At 36.3% G+C, this 17995-nt stretch overlaps 1 long non-coding RNA gene across 1 annotated transcript in view, besides 1 other annotated feature; it reads left to right on the top strand.

Annotated features, from left to right (window-relative positions):
- LOC105377697 (uncharacterized) overlaps positions 1-10471 on the top strand; it is a 56743-nt gene extending 46272 nt beyond the window's left edge. Inside the window, exons 8-10 of the long non-coding RNA XR_941159.2 lie at positions 226-337; positions 6442-6584; positions 10351-10471. This is a non-coding gene — a long non-coding RNA (uncharacterized LOC105377697). The remainder of the gene's footprint in view (positions 1-225; positions 338-6441; positions 6585-10350) is intronic.
- Positions 14108-14623: an enhancer, noted in NCBI's record as "H3K27ac-H3K4me1 hESC enhancer chr5:161957797-161958312 (GRCh37/hg19 assembly coordinates)". NCBI's record gives its function as "activates a minimal SCP1, AML or CMV promoter by ChIP-STARR-seq in naive H9 embryonic stem cells {active_cell/tissue: H9 hESC(naive)}" and the evidence as "EXISTENCE:reporter gene assay evidence [ECO:0000049][PMID:30033119]".

The raw sequence follows: 17995 nt of genomic DNA, 5'->3' as shown, positions 1-17995 counted from the left end.
AAATGTAAAGATATAGAAGATCTGGTTATTTAAAAGTTTTGAGTGAACAGGTACCATCTATAAATTCTTAAGCCAGCATATATCAGCAGTACAATTTTAAAATAATTGTTATAAAGCATTTCACTGTGTGAATATAACATATTTTTTGCAACCAATTCTCATTTCTGAGGCTTGACCCTTTCGACATGTCACGTCCTTATTATATTTTTCTCCATGTCAATGTAGAGAGATTTTAAAGGCCTCTTGCTGCATGAGATGGAACAGTAAGACCAGAGGGATCCTGTTTCTTCATTTATTTCAGTACCAGCAACCCCATTGAGTTCATCACATCCTCATGGTATTTCTCAAGGGCAGAGAATAATTTATTGGTATAGAATTGTTGGCATGTTTTTCTTCCTCAACCATTAAAATACTCATCCTTTATAGCTTTCTAAAAAGGAAGTACATGTAAGAAATACTAGTTGTCAATTCTTCCTAGGCTTGAGTCATTCCCTCTGCAATCTCTTTCAGTTTGTATCTCTAATGTTGATAGGATGCTGTGAGGGAGGCAGGAAGAAAATCCATCCATAAACATTTGCTACTAGACACATGAACAATTTCAGATATGTTTCCCCAAAGAAGACACACAACAGTTTTCAACATTATATTTATGTGCCACACAAACAGGAATTGGGCACATTGTTTTTCTTCAGAGGCTATTTAGGTGCACACTGAGTTGTTGGTAATGAGTTTCATAAAACAGGGACGTCACCTTATCCCATCTTAACAGAGCAGCGATATTGCATGCTTAATTGTGAGAAGCATTTGGGAAATGACCTTCATAAAACCAAATGTCCAACCCTAGCAGGAGGAAATGTATGGTGTTCAAATTATTTTTGTTCTTTTGTTCAGAATTCTGAGGACTTAAACACTTAGAGTATTTATGTTTTATTTTGTTTTCTACTTGAGTCGGAATCAGAATAATCAGAAAAGTTTACAATTTTTTTCTCTATCCGAAAACAGATAATATCATAGTTTGAAGAAATATTATGTATTTAGTAGCATTTTAGAGATGCATCTTTCAATTGCTCTAATTCATTGAAATCAATCATTTTTACTTGTTGAATTAGTCTCTTACAGAGGAATGCAAATTGATTATATCAGTGAAAAATGCATTTAAATATCAAGATTTCTGTCTAAATAATATTTACATTAATTACTTTAATTACATTAATTATTTTAGCTCAACATCCTTTAGTTCAAATCTTATTAATGGTATGTATCTCAAGATACAAAATTTGCCAAAACCTTTCCTAAATTTAAATTTAAATTTATTTTTTATTTTAATTTTAATTTATTTTTATTTTAATTTAATTTCAAGAAAGGAAAAAATAAAAGAGAAAAGTTGGAACTAAACCACAAGACAATATTGTCAGAGACTTTTAATGCCCATTTACAGCTGACAGACTTGTGGTATTTGAGACTTGCTTTAACAATATCTGAAATGATAATGGCATAGAACTTTATCTGCAAATTTGGGAAGACTAATTGACCCTGACAGTAATTGTCTCAGTAGAGGAGAAGGAAGTCAAAACTAAAACTTCAGCCACTTAACCACCCCTTACAGCCAAATCCCTTGATGATCAGTGTGGAAAAATAATGAGACCTGCTGTTTCCAAAGGACCATCTTGCTATTGTCAACACTCCAAGGTTTCTCATTTGAGACTCAAATTTATTTCAGTTCCTTACATGCTCCATGATATCTGCCTGTATTACCATAAATTATTTCCACTAGAAATGTTGAACTGAAAAACAAAGAGCACCGGGTGTTTTCGTGCAAGAGAAATGAATCTTACCCAAAGGAAATAATGGCCTCATTCCACTCTGATGCACAGCCTTGTATGTTCAGAATCTTTGCCTTCACCCCAGGTGGGGGCCATTATACAATTGTAATACAATTGCTACAAATGATTAAACACATTGCTAATCTAAACCAAAGCAAAAGACTTCCAGTTTTCCCATCTCAAAGCATTTAACCAACATCTTCCAGTATGAAACTTGTTTCTTTTTTGTTCAGTTGGACTTGAATTCTATGCTTAGCTCTCATAAGGTTTTGTGTTCACTGTTTTGTAAACACTGCATGCCTTATTCCCATCTCCAGATGCATATGCAAATGCATATGCCCCAAAACTAATTACAGATGCATATGCTCCAAAAACCAGTTATGGTGTTGAAAGTCTTCCTGTACAATAATCTCCTGAGGTCAGTGTTGTTATTCTTATTTAATTAATAATAATAGTTACAATAAAAGGAACAAGAACAATTCCCATCATTTTCTGAGAACTTGCTATATGACAGGCTCTGTGTGAAGTACTTCATATGCATCACCTTCTTGAAATCTCACAGTGATCACACATGACAGATTCTAGTCTAATTCCAACATACAATGAAATAACCTAGCACTTACTAATTTTCTAAGGGTGATGCATCTTGTAATGGAGCAGAGAGTGAAACACAGATTTGTGTGACTCCAAGTCTAGCATCCCTTTCTCTTCTAAATATCCAGAGCTTACCTATTCTTCCAGATATGACTTGAATCTCACATTCAACTATAAAGACTTCCCTATTATTCCTATCTTTTTCTTTTCTTTTTCTTTCTTCCTTTTTTTTAAATTATACTTTAAGTTCTGGGATACATGTGCAGAACATGCAGGTTTGTTACATAGGTATACACGTGCCATGGTGGTTTGCTGCACCCATCAACCCGTCATCTACATCAGGTATTTCTCCTAATGCTCTCCCTCCCCACCCCACCCCCTGACAGGCCCCAGTGTGTGATGTTCCCCTCCCTGTGTTCATGTGTTCTCGTTCTTCAACTCCCACTTATGAGTGAGAACATGAGGTGTTTGGTTTTCTGTTCCTGTATTAGTTTGCTGAGAATGATGGTGATGGTTTCCAGCTTCATCCATGTCCCTGCAAAGGACATGAACTCATCCTTTTTATGGCTGCATAGTATTCCATGGTGTATATGTGCCACAGTTTCTTTATCCAGTCCACCATTGATGGGCATTTGGGTTGGTTCCAAGTCTTTGCTATTGTGAACAGTGCTGCTGTGATGATCCCTCAAGGATCTAAAACCAGAACTACCTTTTGACCCAGCAATCCCATTACTGGGTATATACCCAAAGGATTATAAATCATTCTTTTTTTTATTTTTGAGACTCACTATGTCACCAAGGCTGGAGTGAAGTAGCACAATCTCAGCTCACTGCAACCTCTATCTCTTGAGCTCAAGCCATCCTCCCACCTCAGCCTCCCAAGTAGCTGGGACTACAGATGTGTGCCACCACGCCAAGCTAATGTTTGTTTTTTTTATAGAGACATGATTTCCCCATGTAGCCCAGGCTGGTCTCAAACTCCTGGGCTCATCTCCCACCTCAGACTCCCAAATTACTGGGACTACAGGGGTGAGCCACCACACCAGGCCCCTTCCCTAGTATTCTGAGGCTGTCTTAGTTCTGTGCCTTACACAGAACATACAGCTGTTACTATGAACATTATTACACAATTCTTATCTTTCAGGCTTGTTGCTGTTATTCATATTTGCCATTCTTACATCATCAGTATTACAAAGGTGTCATCTTGGTGCTTCCTTTACAATACCTGGTTCAATGTCGAGCATATCATATAGGTGCTCTCTGTACCTATTAGTGAATTGTTTTCAGTCAAGTAAGCCACGTGGGGACAGAGAGAAGGGCTTAGTTAAGTGCAGAGGAGGCTTGTTCAGAATTCCATTCTGAGTACGTCTATTTTGGCATGTACCAAAAGAAGAGCTCTTCTCACTGTTTTGCCCTTTTCATCAGATAATTAAATAAAATATGTAGCCACTTAGCCTGATTTCCAATGCATTCTCCACTTCATTGCCTTTTAAAATCATCTTAATAAACACAAGCTGAGGTGGAAAATATTAGCAACCTCATCAGGTTATTGTTGAAACTGGAAAAAAAAAATCCCCTTCTAACAAGATACCAACTGTTCAGTTTCCTCTTTAGGCATTTTCTTTCTTGTTCCAGAAAATATACACGATGTACACTGTGGGTTGTCTTAGTTACCTTTTCCTTTTTTTGGAAAGTGGGCACAGAGGACAGTGAGATCTAATTTTATACAATATTATTTCAATTGATGTACAAAATAGTCAATAATAGCTAGTAATAAGGAGGATGAAATTATAATTATGATCACAAATTGTTATGAATTTTAGATGATATTAAAAATATATTTCAAAAATAAGGAATATAAAATTTGGTGAGATTACTTAACTTTTTAAAGGTGACACACGGGGCTAAAGAAAAGGTAGAGTCTCTATTTGACTCCCTGTCTCGCAAACACCTAAGTCCATGACGAATTCACAGTAAAGCAAGGTATCACTGAATCTTTATTGTGGCCAAGTATCCTTCCTTTGCTTTGCTTTAGCAAAGCCCTACTTTCTTGCTTTTCTTCAGTGTTGCTTACTGAACAGGAAGAATAATAAATTGTGCGACTCTCTCTGGCATTTTTGATTGATAGAAGGAGAAAAGATCAATACTTCTGCTTTCTACATTTTAAATCATGAGGTCACCATGCTCAAACACTCTCCTCTACATTTCCACTTTGAATTAGGTCCAGCAAACAGAGCTATCATTTCTGAAGCTCATTAACCCTGCTTTGCTTTCTCGCTTTATCCTACACCTTTAGTTCTTAACCACGACTACTATGGAAATAAAAGAAAATATCATCCATTTATTTTAGAATTCATAACTAGAAGTACATGAAAATTTCATTAACTATTTTTGGTTTTGAAGTTAAAGTGATTGATTATTATATTCAAGTAAAAGTATTCACTTGGGCAGTCAGGAGGCCAATATATAATCTAGAATTGTAATAATTTATATACTTGATGATTTGATATATGTCCTGCATTTATCTACCACTGGCTCTAAACCAAGCCACCATCATTGCCTGTCCACGTAACAGAGTAGCCTGCTCATCATTGTACTTTTTCTATCCTTTCCTAACTTTGGTTTCTCCTCCACTCAGCAGCCAGAGGGAACCTTTTACAATAAAAGCCAGATTAAATTCATTGTTCAACTCAAAATTTTCCCCAATTTTTTTCATGAAACAGCCCACGTTCACATAATGGCCCATAAAGTCCTTCATGATCTGTCCTTCCAATCTCTCTCTGATATCAACTCCTACTACTCTCTCCTTTCCTTTTTTTTCAATCTATTCAGAAAAACCTGGGTTCTTCACTATTCTCCAATTATGCCAGGCATGCTTCTGCTTCAGGGCCTGGTTACTATCTGTTTCCTCTGCATACAGTGCTCTTCCTCCAGATATCCACATGGCTAACTCCATGACTCCTTTAAGTTTCTACTCAGATAAAACCTTCTCAGAAGGCCCACCATAATCATCCTATTTAAAACTGCCAAATCAAAGCACTCCTGATCTTTCTTATCATACTCTAAGGTTTCTGTCATAACACATCACTTTTATACATTATGTATTTATAATAAATTATTTGCTAGACTATAAGTTCCAGGAGGTAAAAGAACTTCATCTTCTCTGTTCATTGATGTATATTGAGCATTTAGGTAAGTGCCTTATACTCAGTATTTGCTGATTGAATGAATGAATGAGTTAAAACAAATCTTGAAGGATCTTTATCAACTTATTTAAGGTGGCCTGGGTTATAACACGGTGCATGTCACATAAAGAGAGTCTCATGCTTTGATATGAAACCAAGCTACTTTAACATAGACTACTCTGGGATCCAGGTACATAATTTCAGATACCCAATTATGCAGAATTAAACAAGTAATCATTATTATATATGTAGACGAATAAAAAGTAAAAATTTTTTAAAGTAAATTTCAATCAATTGTTCTATGGTAGAGAAGTCAAATAGTTTTCAACAAATGACGTTTCTCATTCTTTCTTTAAAATATCTGTAATAGTACTTATTTTACAGGACAATACATCTGTTACTAATAATGGTAAGTAATTAAATTTTATAATGATAACTAATGTTCATCAGTGTACCAATATATCCTTATCATAATTACCATCTCTGGCTTGGATTTTTATGTAACATCTTGCTGCTGCACAGATGGTATGGAGGAAACAACTGTCTTTGGTTGAGATTCTTGATAAAGTTTATAGTCTTTAAGCCTGGAAAAACTCCAAATCATGCAAGCATCTGCCTTTATACAAAGTATGAATATGAAATTCATCATACCACACCCTTAGCTTTATTTTCCTGCAAGCAAAATACTGTCTTTCTGTGACATTTGGTTAAGGTTAATGATAATGTAATATTCTCAGGTACTTATAAAATCTATACAATATGTAGCTACCATGTCTCTTTTGATTATGACTTCAAACTGGTTTCTTCAAACCGTTGTTTTTTTTTTTTAATGGTGTAAGGAAGATAAAAAGCAGATGGAATAGCAATAACAACAACTAAAGGACAGAAAAACCTAGCAACCACAAGGCAAGAGCAAGATAAAAATAAGAATAATAAAAGATAAATGCACGAATTCCTAAACACCTTCCTCCTCTTCTCTCAGGTAACACAAATGAAAGCCTTCTTACTAACAGTTTTCGGTTATCTCACTGTAGAAGGTAGTCTGCTGTAGAGAGTAATTCCATCTATCTACAGTGCTGTACTTGAAACTGATAGTCCCATATGGAGTTTTTTGGATACAGATTGAAATTAACCCTTATGGACTTAAAGCTTGAAGATTATATTTTTTTATATGAGTTCCTTCCTCAGAAAAGGACCTTCAGGCCTCCCCCGCAAAAAAATATCCGCCAGGCATGGTGGCTCATGCCTGTAATGCCAGCACTTTGGGAGACCAAGGCAGGTGGATCACCTGTGGTCAGGAGTTAGAGACCAGCCTGGCCAACATGGTGTAACCCCATCTCTCCTAAAAAATACAAAAATTAGCTGGGCGTGGTGGCAGGTGCCTGTAGTCCCAGCTACTCGGGAGGCTGAGGCAGGAGAATCACTTGAACTTGGGAGGCATAGTTTGCAGTGAGCCAAGATTGCACCATTGCACTCCCACCTGGGAGACAGAGCAAGACTCTGTCTCAAAAAAAAAAAAAAAAAAAATGTATCAAACAACTGAATCTCACCAGATCACGTCAGACAATGGCCAATGACCAAACCCCTTATTCATCATGATTGCTTACTTGCCCGTCCCTACTATCTGTTTTCTTACACATTGTTTTATTTGTTCCCTGCTATATACCCCTAGTTTTAGTCAGTCAGGGAGTTAGATTTGAGACTGAGCTCCCATCTCCTCAGCTGCAGCACCTGATTAAAGCCTTCTTCCTTGGCAATACTCATTGTCTCAGTCATTGCCCTTCTGTGTGGGAGGTAGCAGAACCCAGACCGAACCCCTGGTGTTTTGGTAACATACTGATGCTCTACAATTTAAACAACCAACAACCAACGTGAGGACATTAAAAAAAAGTCTTATTTTTATCCTCACATCTTTGGTTGTTTATAAATAGAAGAAACACTTACAGGATGAAAAAGAAAAGATATGAAAACATAAGCAGGGCAATTTATTTGTTGGTCCAAAAATACAGACACAACATGAAAATACTTTACAGTAGACTGGTATTGGCGGAACACATAAGCCTTGATATAAGCGAATGCTTTCCAGAGAAACTCACCTTCAACCTCGTTATGAAGAAGTCTCACAAATAATTTCTGGAAAAAAAACATACGGCTCACAACGAAAAATAACAAAGCACATAGGGAAAAGTTACCATAATTAAGAAATTACTTAAATAACCGTATGTATCCTATTGTTATTGTAACTAATTACTCCAAATGTAGTATCTTAAAACAACCCACATTTATCATCTTATAATTACAGAGGTTAAGAATTCCAAAAATAAAGGGGTCACCAGGGCTGCATTTCTTCAGGAGGTTCTGGTGGAAATCTGTTTTCTTGCCTTTTCCATATTGGAGGCAGGATGAATTTATTGGGTCATGACCTCTTTCTCATTTCCTGTAATCTCTCCCCCCACAATGATACTTTCTTCTCTGACTGTGATGCTACTGCCCTCCTGTGATAAGGAGCCTTGACATTACTTTGGGCATACCTGTATAATTCAAGATAATGTCTTCATCTTAATTAATTAATTAATTTAGAGAAGGAGTCTCGCTTTGTTGCGCAGGCTGGAGTGCAGTGGCAGGATCTCGGCTCACTGCAAGCTCCGCCTCCTGAGTTCACGCCATTCTCCTGCCTCAGCCTCCCCAATAGCTGGGACTACAGGCACCCGCCACCACGCCTGGCTAATTTTTTGTATTTTTAGTAGAGACGGGGTTTCACTGTGTTAGCCAGGATGGTCTCGATCTCCTGACCTCATGATCTGCCCGCCTCGGCCTCCCAAAGTGCTGGGATTTCAGGCGTGAGCCACCGCGCCCGGCCAGATATCAGAATTATTAAAATACCTATTATAAAATAATTATAATTATTTGTGTTTAAAGCAATAGAAGATTGGAAAAAATGCATGTATGGAACAAGAAACTAAAAATTTTCTAGCATATTTGCAAAAGTATGAAATGAAATGAGAACTCAGAAAGTTAGATTAAAAAAACACCAAATAGATGAGTATAATAGCACATATCCGAATATACAGTTAGTAAAATTATTTCAGAATAAATTTTCAAAAATACATGGAAAAATGTTCCATTTTCCCTTCTAGATGAAATTATCACAGTTCATTTTAAAATGCTCTTTAAATTCTGCGTGTACATTTATGTACTTCTCTGTATGTATGAAATCTTTAAAAATATCAGTGAAACTTTTGTGCGGTTGGACACAACAAAAGATAAACTTGAATAATTAAGTAGGAATCTCAAAGACATTAAAAAAATAAAAGTACAAGTTATGAAAGAAAGTTAATGTGGTATAGAATATATATAGAGGAGATTCAATATCTGGTCATAGTAGTTTGTGAAGGAATGAACAGATTGAATATAGGGGATTAATTTTTCTAGAAATTAGCAAATACTCAACTAGAAAATATGGGGCAGTTTCACCCAAATACATCTATAAATTTATTATAATTTTAGGTGTAAAACTATTTTAAGTAAAGTTATTGCAGAGTGAAAAAGAATAAAATTCAGAAAGCAATACAAATGAGATTTAGCATATTCTAAAGGTCATGCTAATTATTAATGGGTACAGAATCGACTGTTCTCTAACTACTGTTAAGACAACTAGGTTTTATAATGAAAGAGCTTTCAAAGTTTCTACCTCACCCAAATTATACTCTAGTTCAAGTCAAAATGTAAGTGTAAATCAACAATGATAATTATTATAAAAGCATAATAAAAAATAAATGAGAATATGTTCCTAATCTTAGTGTAGTATATCTCGACACAGCAAGATAAAGATATATTTATTCTTAGAGGTATCTCTTCTAGATTTGATAACATAAAACATTAAAAACTTATTTGGAAGAAGTGATCATAAATTATACAATTCAGCAGATATTTATAAGCCCCTAACATGTACTAACTGTTCAAAAATCTTGGTATATATGAGGAACAAAACATACAAAAATACTTGCTCTTATTAATTTTAAATTTACTGGAAAAACAGGGAATAAAAACATAAAAATAAATGATATATTCTTTTAGAAGGTTCTAAGTGCTATAAAAAAAGGCAGAGTAAAGATGATCTGGCCTGGCTTTTGTGGCAACGGGAGTGTGCTGAAATTAAATACAGTGGTTAGTGTAGGCCTCATTAAGAAGGTGATATGTGACAAAGACTTGGAGAGGTTAAGGGGTGAGAATCCAGAGAAAAGCATTCTAGGCAAAGAGAACAGTCATTGAAAATTCCAAATTCTTAATTTTTTTTTTTTTTTTTTTTTTTTGAGACGGAGTCTCGCTCTGTCTCCGAGGCTGGAGTGCAGTGGCGCAATCTCGGTTCACGCCATTCTCCTGCCTCAGCTTCCTGAGTAGCTGGGACTACAGGCGCCCGCCACAACGCCTGGCTAATTTTTTGTATTAGAATAAAGACTTATAGAGACGGGGTTTCACCGTGTTAGCCAGGATGGTCTCGATCTCCTGACCTCGTGATCTGCCCGTCTCAGCTTCCCAAAGTGCTGGGATTACAGGCGTGAGCGACCGCGCCTGGCCGCAAATTCTTAATGTTTAGAGAACATCTAAGGGACTGAGTGCCTGAAGCAGAGCAAATATGGGAGAAAAAGTAGAAAAGTGAATAAAATTAAACGAAATGAAGGGACAAATGATTTGTCAGGAGAAAATATTTGCAATATTTATAAGAAAAGGGTTTGTATCTTTAAAAGGAGTTCCAATGCCTGAATAGGAAAATAACAGACATCCCAGAAGAATACTGAACAATGCATACAAATAAGTACATCGCTGAAGAAGCAAACTGCCCAATAAAGTCTTCAATCTCTGTGGTGGTAAGAATGATCAGGGAAATAATAAGGTAAATACAAATAATTAATTACTTCCTATGTTTTTTAGTTTTCAGTATACAAGTTTTGTCCTTACTTTTTTGAACATATAACTAAGTATTCTGGGTTATTAATGCTATTATAAATGGAATTGTTTTCTTAATTTCAGTTTTTATAATGCTCATAACAAGTGTATATTTATAGGTGTATACACACATATAAATTATGTAATCTGAAAATATAGAGAGTCTTATTTTTTCTTTTCCTATCTGGGTACTTTCTCTTTCTTATTTTTGCCTACATGCCCTGGCCAGCACCCCCAGTACAACGTTAGAAGTGGCAAGAATGAATATCCTTATATTTTTCATGATGTTAGGAGAAAAGAATTGTCTTTCACCATTAGGTATGATGGTAGCTGTTAATTTTTTTGCAAATCCCCTTTACTAGGGTGAGGCTTCTACTCCTAGTTTTTTTGTTTGTTTGTTTTTGGTATTGTATTTCTGTCAAATTTTTTTCTGGATTTATTGAGATGAGCATATAGTTTTTCTTTATTCTACTGACATGGCATATCGCATAAATTAACTTTTGGATGTTAAACTGAACTTACATTTTGATAGAGATTGCATTAAATCTGTAGATCACTTTGTGTACTGTTGAAATTTTAACAATACTAACCCCTAATCAAGAATGTGAGATATTTTTTCATTTATTGATGTCTTCCTTAATTTTATTGGTTAATGTTTTATAATTTTCATTGTACAAGTCTTTTACTTCCTTGGTTTGGTTAATTCTTAAGTATTTTATTATTTGTAATGGTATTGCAAATGAAAATATTTTCTTAATTTTATTTTTAGATGTTTATTATTAGTATATAAAAATGCAACTGATTTGTGTGTCTGAACTTTATATCTTCTTTGCTAAATTCATTTAAATTCTGAGTATTTTGTGTATATATTTATATAGAATCTTTAGTTTTCTACATATGAAATCATAAAACAGAGATAATTTTATTTCTTTTTTTCTGATTGAATTTTTAAATTTATTTTTCTTGCTTAAGTTCTCTGACTAGGACTTCCAGTACTATGTTAAATAGAAGTGAGAAGTATTCCCATTCATAGGCATAAGCTGGAAAATGTTTATCTCATAGAAATAAAAAATATAACAAAGAATACTATAAGCTGGAAAAAATAGGGGAAATGGGGAGGTAGGGAGAGATTTGTTAAAGAATACAAAATTACAGCTAGATAGGAAAAATAAGTACTAGTGTTCTATATCACTGTATGATAACTATAGTTAACAATAATATATCATATAGTCTCAAATAGCCAGAAGGAGGTTTTTTGGTGTTCCCCGAACAAAGAAATGATATATGTTTGAGATAATGAATATGGTAGTTACTTTGATCCAATTACTATACACTGTATGTTTCAAAACATCCCTCTGTACACCATAAATATGTACAATTATCGTGTATAAATTTATTTAAAAAACCTCTAAAGAATCAATCAATAAGTACTTTTTTGGTTTTCTTTTCTTTTTTCTTTATTTTTTTTTTTTTTTTTGAGACAGAGTCTCGCTCTGTACCCCAGGCTGGAGTGCAGTGGTGCAATCTCAGCTCACTGCAACCTCCACCTCCCGGGTCCTGGTTCAAGCAATTCTCCGGCCTCAGCCTCCCAAGTAGCTGGGATTACAGGCATGCACCACCATGCCCAGCTAATTTTTGTATTTTTAGTAGAGATGGGGGTTTCACCATGTTGGCCAGGCTGGTCTTGAACTCCTGACCTCGTGATCTGCCCACCTTGGCCTCCCAAAGTGCTGGGATTACAGGCATGAGACACTGTGTATGGCCCACTTTTTTGGTTTTCTAAGGAGAAAAAAATGTTCTTGATCTTAAAGGAAAGCTTCCAATTTTTTATTAATACTATTAATATAATGTTTGCCGTGGAGTTTTTATATATGGGTTTTATTATGTTGAGGTAATTGCCTTCTATTTCTACTTTGTCTTTTTTCAGTCATGAAGTAAGGCTGAATTATGTCAAATGCTTTTTCTGCATCAATTGAGATAATCGTGTAATATTTTCTTTCATTTCCTTAATGTAGTATATTTCATTGATTGATTTGTATACATTGAACCTTGCTTTCCAAGTGAGTAAATTTTTAATGTGCTGTTGAATTCAGTTTTCTAGTATACTGTCGAAAACGTTTGCATCTATGTTTATTAGTGATTTTGGTCTGTAATTTTCTTTTCTTCAATTGTGTTTTCCTGGTTTTGGCATCAGGGTAATGCTTGTCTCATGAAGTCAGTCAGGAAGTGCTCTCACCTCTTCAATATATTTGGAAAACTTTGAAAAAAATTTCCATTAATTATCCTTTAAAGATTAAGTGGAATTCACTAGTGAGGGCTTCAGGTCCAGGGATTTACTTTGTTGGGAGATTTTTATTATTTATTTTATTTTCTTACTCATTATATAGTTCTATTTAAATTTTCTATTTCTTCATGGTTTAGTCTTGGTAGCTTTCGAGTTTATAAGGATTTCATGTAGTTATCCAATTGTTGGCATGCAACTGCTCGTAGTACTGTCTTATAATCCTTTTATTTCTATAAAATCCGTAGTAATGTCTTTCATTTTTTAGTTTTGTAATTTGAGTCTTTTCTGCCCTGCTTTTTCTCTTTTTTTATTTAGCTAAAGGTTTGTCAAACTTGATCTTTTCAAAGAGCCAACTTTAGTTTCGTTGCATTTCTCTATTATTATTTTATTCTCTATCCCATTTATCTTTGCTCTTCTATTATTTCCTTCCTTCTGTTACCTTTGTGTTTTTCTTTTTCTAGTACCTTAAGTTATAAAGTTAATCTGCTGATTTAAAACATTTTTGATTAATTTTTAATGTGTTACAGCTATAAATTTTCTTCTTAGTGTGGCCTTCACTGTGCCCCATAAATATTGGTATGTTATGTTTATATTTTCATTTATCTTAAATATTTTTCAGTTTTCCTTGTGATTTCTTTATTAATTCATTTGTTATTTGAGTGTGTTTTGTCATTTCCACAAATTTATGAATTTTCTTGTTTTCCTTCTGTTACTGATTTCTAACTTCATCTGTTGTGGTAAGAGATGAATCTTTGTTTCATAGCTATCCTTTCACACCTACTGAGACAATGTATAGGCCCAAACATAGTCTATCCTGGAAAATGTTCCATGTACCCTTGAGAAGAATTAGTATTCTGTTGCTGGGCAGAGTGTTCCATATGTCTGTTAAAACTACTTGGTTTAGGAGGAGCCAAGATGGCTGAATAGGAACAGCTCCGGTCTACAGCTCCCAGTGTGAGCGACACAGAAGACGGTGATTTCTGCATTTCCATCTGAGGTACCGGGTTCATCTCACCAGGGAGTGCCAGACAGTGGGCACAGGTCAGTGGGTGCATGCACCATGCGTGAGCCAAAGCAGGGCGAGGCATTGCCTCACTTGGGAAGCGCAAGGGGTCAGGGAGTTCCCTTTCCGAGTCAAAGAAAGGGGTGATGGACGGCACCTGGAAAATCGGGTCACTCCCACCCGAATACTGTGCTTTTCCAACGGGCTTAAAAAACGGCGCACCACGAGATTATATCCCGCACCTGGCTTGGAGGTTCCTACGCCCACGGAGTCTCACTGATTGCTAGCACAGCAGTCTGAGATCAAACTGCAAGGTGGCAGCCAGGCTGGGAGAGGGGCGCCCACCATAGCCCAGGCTTGATTAGGTAAACAAAGCAGCCGGGAAGCTCCAACTGGGCGGAGCCCACCACAGCTCAAGGAGGCCTGCCTGCCTCTGTAGGCTCCACCTCTGGGGGAAGGGCACAGACAAACAAAAAGACAGCAGTAACCTCTGCAGACTTAAATGTCCCTGTCTGACAGCTTTGAAGAGAGCAGTGGTTCTCCCAGCATGCAGCTGGAGATCTGAGAACTCCACAGACTGCCTCCTCAAGTGGGTCCCTGAGCCCTGACCCCTGAGCAGCCTAACTGGGAGGCACCCCCCAGCAGGGGCACACTGACACCTCACACAGCAGGGAATTCCAACAGACCTGCAGCTGAGGGTCCTGTCTGTTAGAAGGAAAACTAACAAACAGAAAGGACATCCACACCAAAAACCCATCTGTACATCACCATCATCAAAGACCAAAAGTAGATAAAACCACAAAGATGGGGAAAAAACAGAACAGAAAAACTGGAAGGGCTTCTATTGACCATTTTCCCTGTGTATGCATTACATTCACATTCTTTCCATGTCTCCTAACTTTTTATTGAAAACAGCTTATTTTAGATAGTATAACAAATCTGAATATAGATCCGCTACAGGAAGGAGTAATTGTTATTTGATTGGTTTTTTTGTTTATTTGTTTAGTAACATGGTTGAAATCCATTACTTTTCAGCATGCAGTCTCTTATGTCCCTGGTCAGATTTTTTTTTGGTTTGTTTGTTTTAATCTTGTAGCTTGGCTACTTATAGGTCAGTCCTAGTCAGCATAGCCACTTATTAGTCAAATGTTATGATTAAACTCTCTCAGCCAGTAAGATCTTTCCTCCATATGTTGATATGTTGAATATGTATGTGGCTTACAGACTACTGTCTAAATTCAGCTTGGGACCAAGACCTTGGAGGTTATTCTTCTCATTGCTGTTTTGAGGGCACAGCATTGGGCATGCACACTCTTTCAGACTACCAGTGGTGGCTATGATTTATTTCTAAACATAGCTTCCTAGGAGTTCACACTTGTGTCAGAGAAGCTTGCCAGTAAGTGTTTGTTTCATAAGAAGTTGAATTTAAGCATTTGTGCCATTGAGGGGTGTGCCCTTGTAATTGGTCTGTGTGTGGTTTTGAAAACACCTTCAAGTCTGTCCACTTCCTGTGCTGATTGCTTCTGAGTGAGCGAAGCACAGCCTTCTTGACTCCCGGGGTTGAGTATGATTCCAGGAGTACTCTTCTTAGATATCTCTTTTCCTTGTTCTCTCTATTAAAGCTCTGAATGTTTCCCTCTATTGCATCATGCTTTGTATCATGGAGCTTCTAGTCTCTCTTAATTTCTCACCACTAAGATATCCATTATTTTGAATACTTCTCTTAGTCACAGAGTTCCCCATGCTTTTTAACAACAACAATAATAATAATAAAAACCCTCAGGCAGCGTTGCAGAGCTCCGTAGATGAAAGCTGGGGTGGGGGAAAGGATCAGAAAAGGGAGCCCTGTGTTTTTGGCTATACCAATCTGCAATATAGTTTTTTGCATGCTGGGCTGAAGGGGGTAGAAAGCAAGTGGGTCATGACCCAAATACTATAGAAACTCACTGTTCTTACTGAGACTTAGTAGATTTTTCCAGTGAATGATTCTTCAATTCCTGTATGCTCTTAGACAATTTCCCTAGACTATAAATATTTTTTATGGTCTTCAACAATAAAATTTTTGTTTTGCCAAGAAAAGGTTACTCCTTTTCTAGGCTAGGTTACTCCTAGCTCTTGACTCTGTCACTCTGGAAGTTCTGCCTCCTATATACGTATTTGCATATGCAACTCATGCAGAGAAATGTATTTATAGTGTGTGTGCAACCACATACATTTACAATTGAATAGAAAAAAATCTGGCACACTAAGCACACTAATGTTAGCAAAATAGAACCTTGGGTATGGTTGGCTAAGTGCAGACTAGTTTTTATTTTATCAGTTATTTCTATTGATACAGTGCTGTCACTCTCCTGCTTTATATACCTCATTAAATTCTTGCCATTCCAAATAGTAAATACTTAAATGTTGCCATCCTAGGTCCTTTCTAGTCTGTTTCCAAGACTTTTGTCCAACATGTCCTTACTCTCCTTTCTTCCTGTTAAAATTTGACTTACTATCCAAGGCCCTTATGAAACATTACCTTTCTCAAGATTTATTTCTTGATCATGCCTTTGTGTCCCACCTTCCCTTTCATATAACTTTATGGGATACATGGTTTAGTTAACTTAATCCTTTCCTGCTAGATTGTGAATGCCTCACAGGCGGAAAGTATGTCTTATTCTTTTTATTCTTTCCCTAGTGCTTTACAAAGCAACTGCCACTTAGTAGGAACTCAATGAAAATTAGTCATTCTCGAATAATTGTATTCCACCATAATATCTGGCAGCAGAAATCACTTGCTTAAGGCTGTGTCTACATGCATTCAACATTAAGTGTAAACAGAAATATGTACTCTGTTAGGAAATTAGTGGAAATATATTGCCTTGAATACTTGAACTTACAGGGCACAAAACATATGCAATTGAGGGTGTGAAAAAAATATGAAATTCTGGCTCCCAGAAAAAAGAAAGCTATGAAAGTTGAATTTTTTCTGAGTATTTGCTTTGCTCCAGGCAGTATGTTACTCACCTTTCATACTTTGACTTATCTGTTTATTTTTTATAATAATCCTGAGACTTAGGCATTATTCACACTTCACAGAATGAGAATTTGAGACCCAGAGCTGTTAAATGACTTACCGAATGTTACAAAACCAATAGCTGGTGGAGCCAAGACTCAAACCCAGGCGTGATCCAAAGCTTGACTTTCCTGAATTTTAATTTGTCATTGTAATAAAACTATTTAAAATTAATTATCCTGTAACTGGCAGTGATCTTTAACTTCTGTTTTCCCTGTTTGGGGTCATCTTAAAAATCAGTGGTATATTGGACTGACTGGATCTTTTTGTCTCATTAGATATCGTCACATAAGCATAGACAAGAACATGGGTGAGACTTATAACACCTATTGGTTGTAGGGAAGACCAGAAAGCCTTCCTGGCATTTCCTGCAGAAACAGCCTTTCAGATGTCTTCTTGGTGGGAGACACAGGGCATTGCCAACTAGCTAATAGGCAGACCTATCTTTTAAAAAGAATACTGGATAATGCTCTGAAAGCAGAAAATATTTATCCTTAGTTGCATGTTAAGGTCAGCATGTTATCTCTGAATTTTCCCCTTCCCTTCCTCTCTCCACAATAACAGATGGATACAGCTATTTGGATAATGCCTCATTTTAGTGAAGTTCCTTAATTAAACTAGATACTCTGAAAAAACACAGTGTTTTGCAGGTGGTGACACATGCATCAACATGTTAAAAAATTCCCTGTGTAAGTGAAAATTACTTATTTGCTTTCAGCAAATAATTTGAATTCAGCCTAATAGGTCATTGGTTTGAATAAATATGGTTTGTTTCTTAGTGTGGGATAATACATAGGCAATGTATCACTATGCTCTGTAATGACATATTTCTAGAGCAAGGATATGTTCTATAAATGAACTTCTTCATCGAACTTACATAGCACCGTTTTATACACATTTGGCTGCTTCAGAAAGAGCCAAGGACTTCACCTGATCATTGGGGCTCTTCCTAAGACACCTCAAGGGAGAGTCCTTTAATATGTGGCTTCCTGTCATTCCCATGGCCAACAAATCAGGCCAACCAATCAGGCCATACCACCACAGGCAACACAGTTTTAACAGCATGGGCCTTGGAACCAGACAAACCTAGACTGGAATCTT

The sequence above is a fragment of the Homo sapiens genome, chromosome 5 (assembly GCF_000001405.40).
Source record: "Homo sapiens chromosome 5, GRCh38.p14 Primary Assembly".
NCBI classification, from domain to species: domain Eukaryota; kingdom Metazoa; phylum Chordata; class Mammalia; order Primates; family Hominidae; genus Homo; species Homo sapiens.
This window is presented reverse-complemented; position numbering and strand designations above follow the sequence as displayed.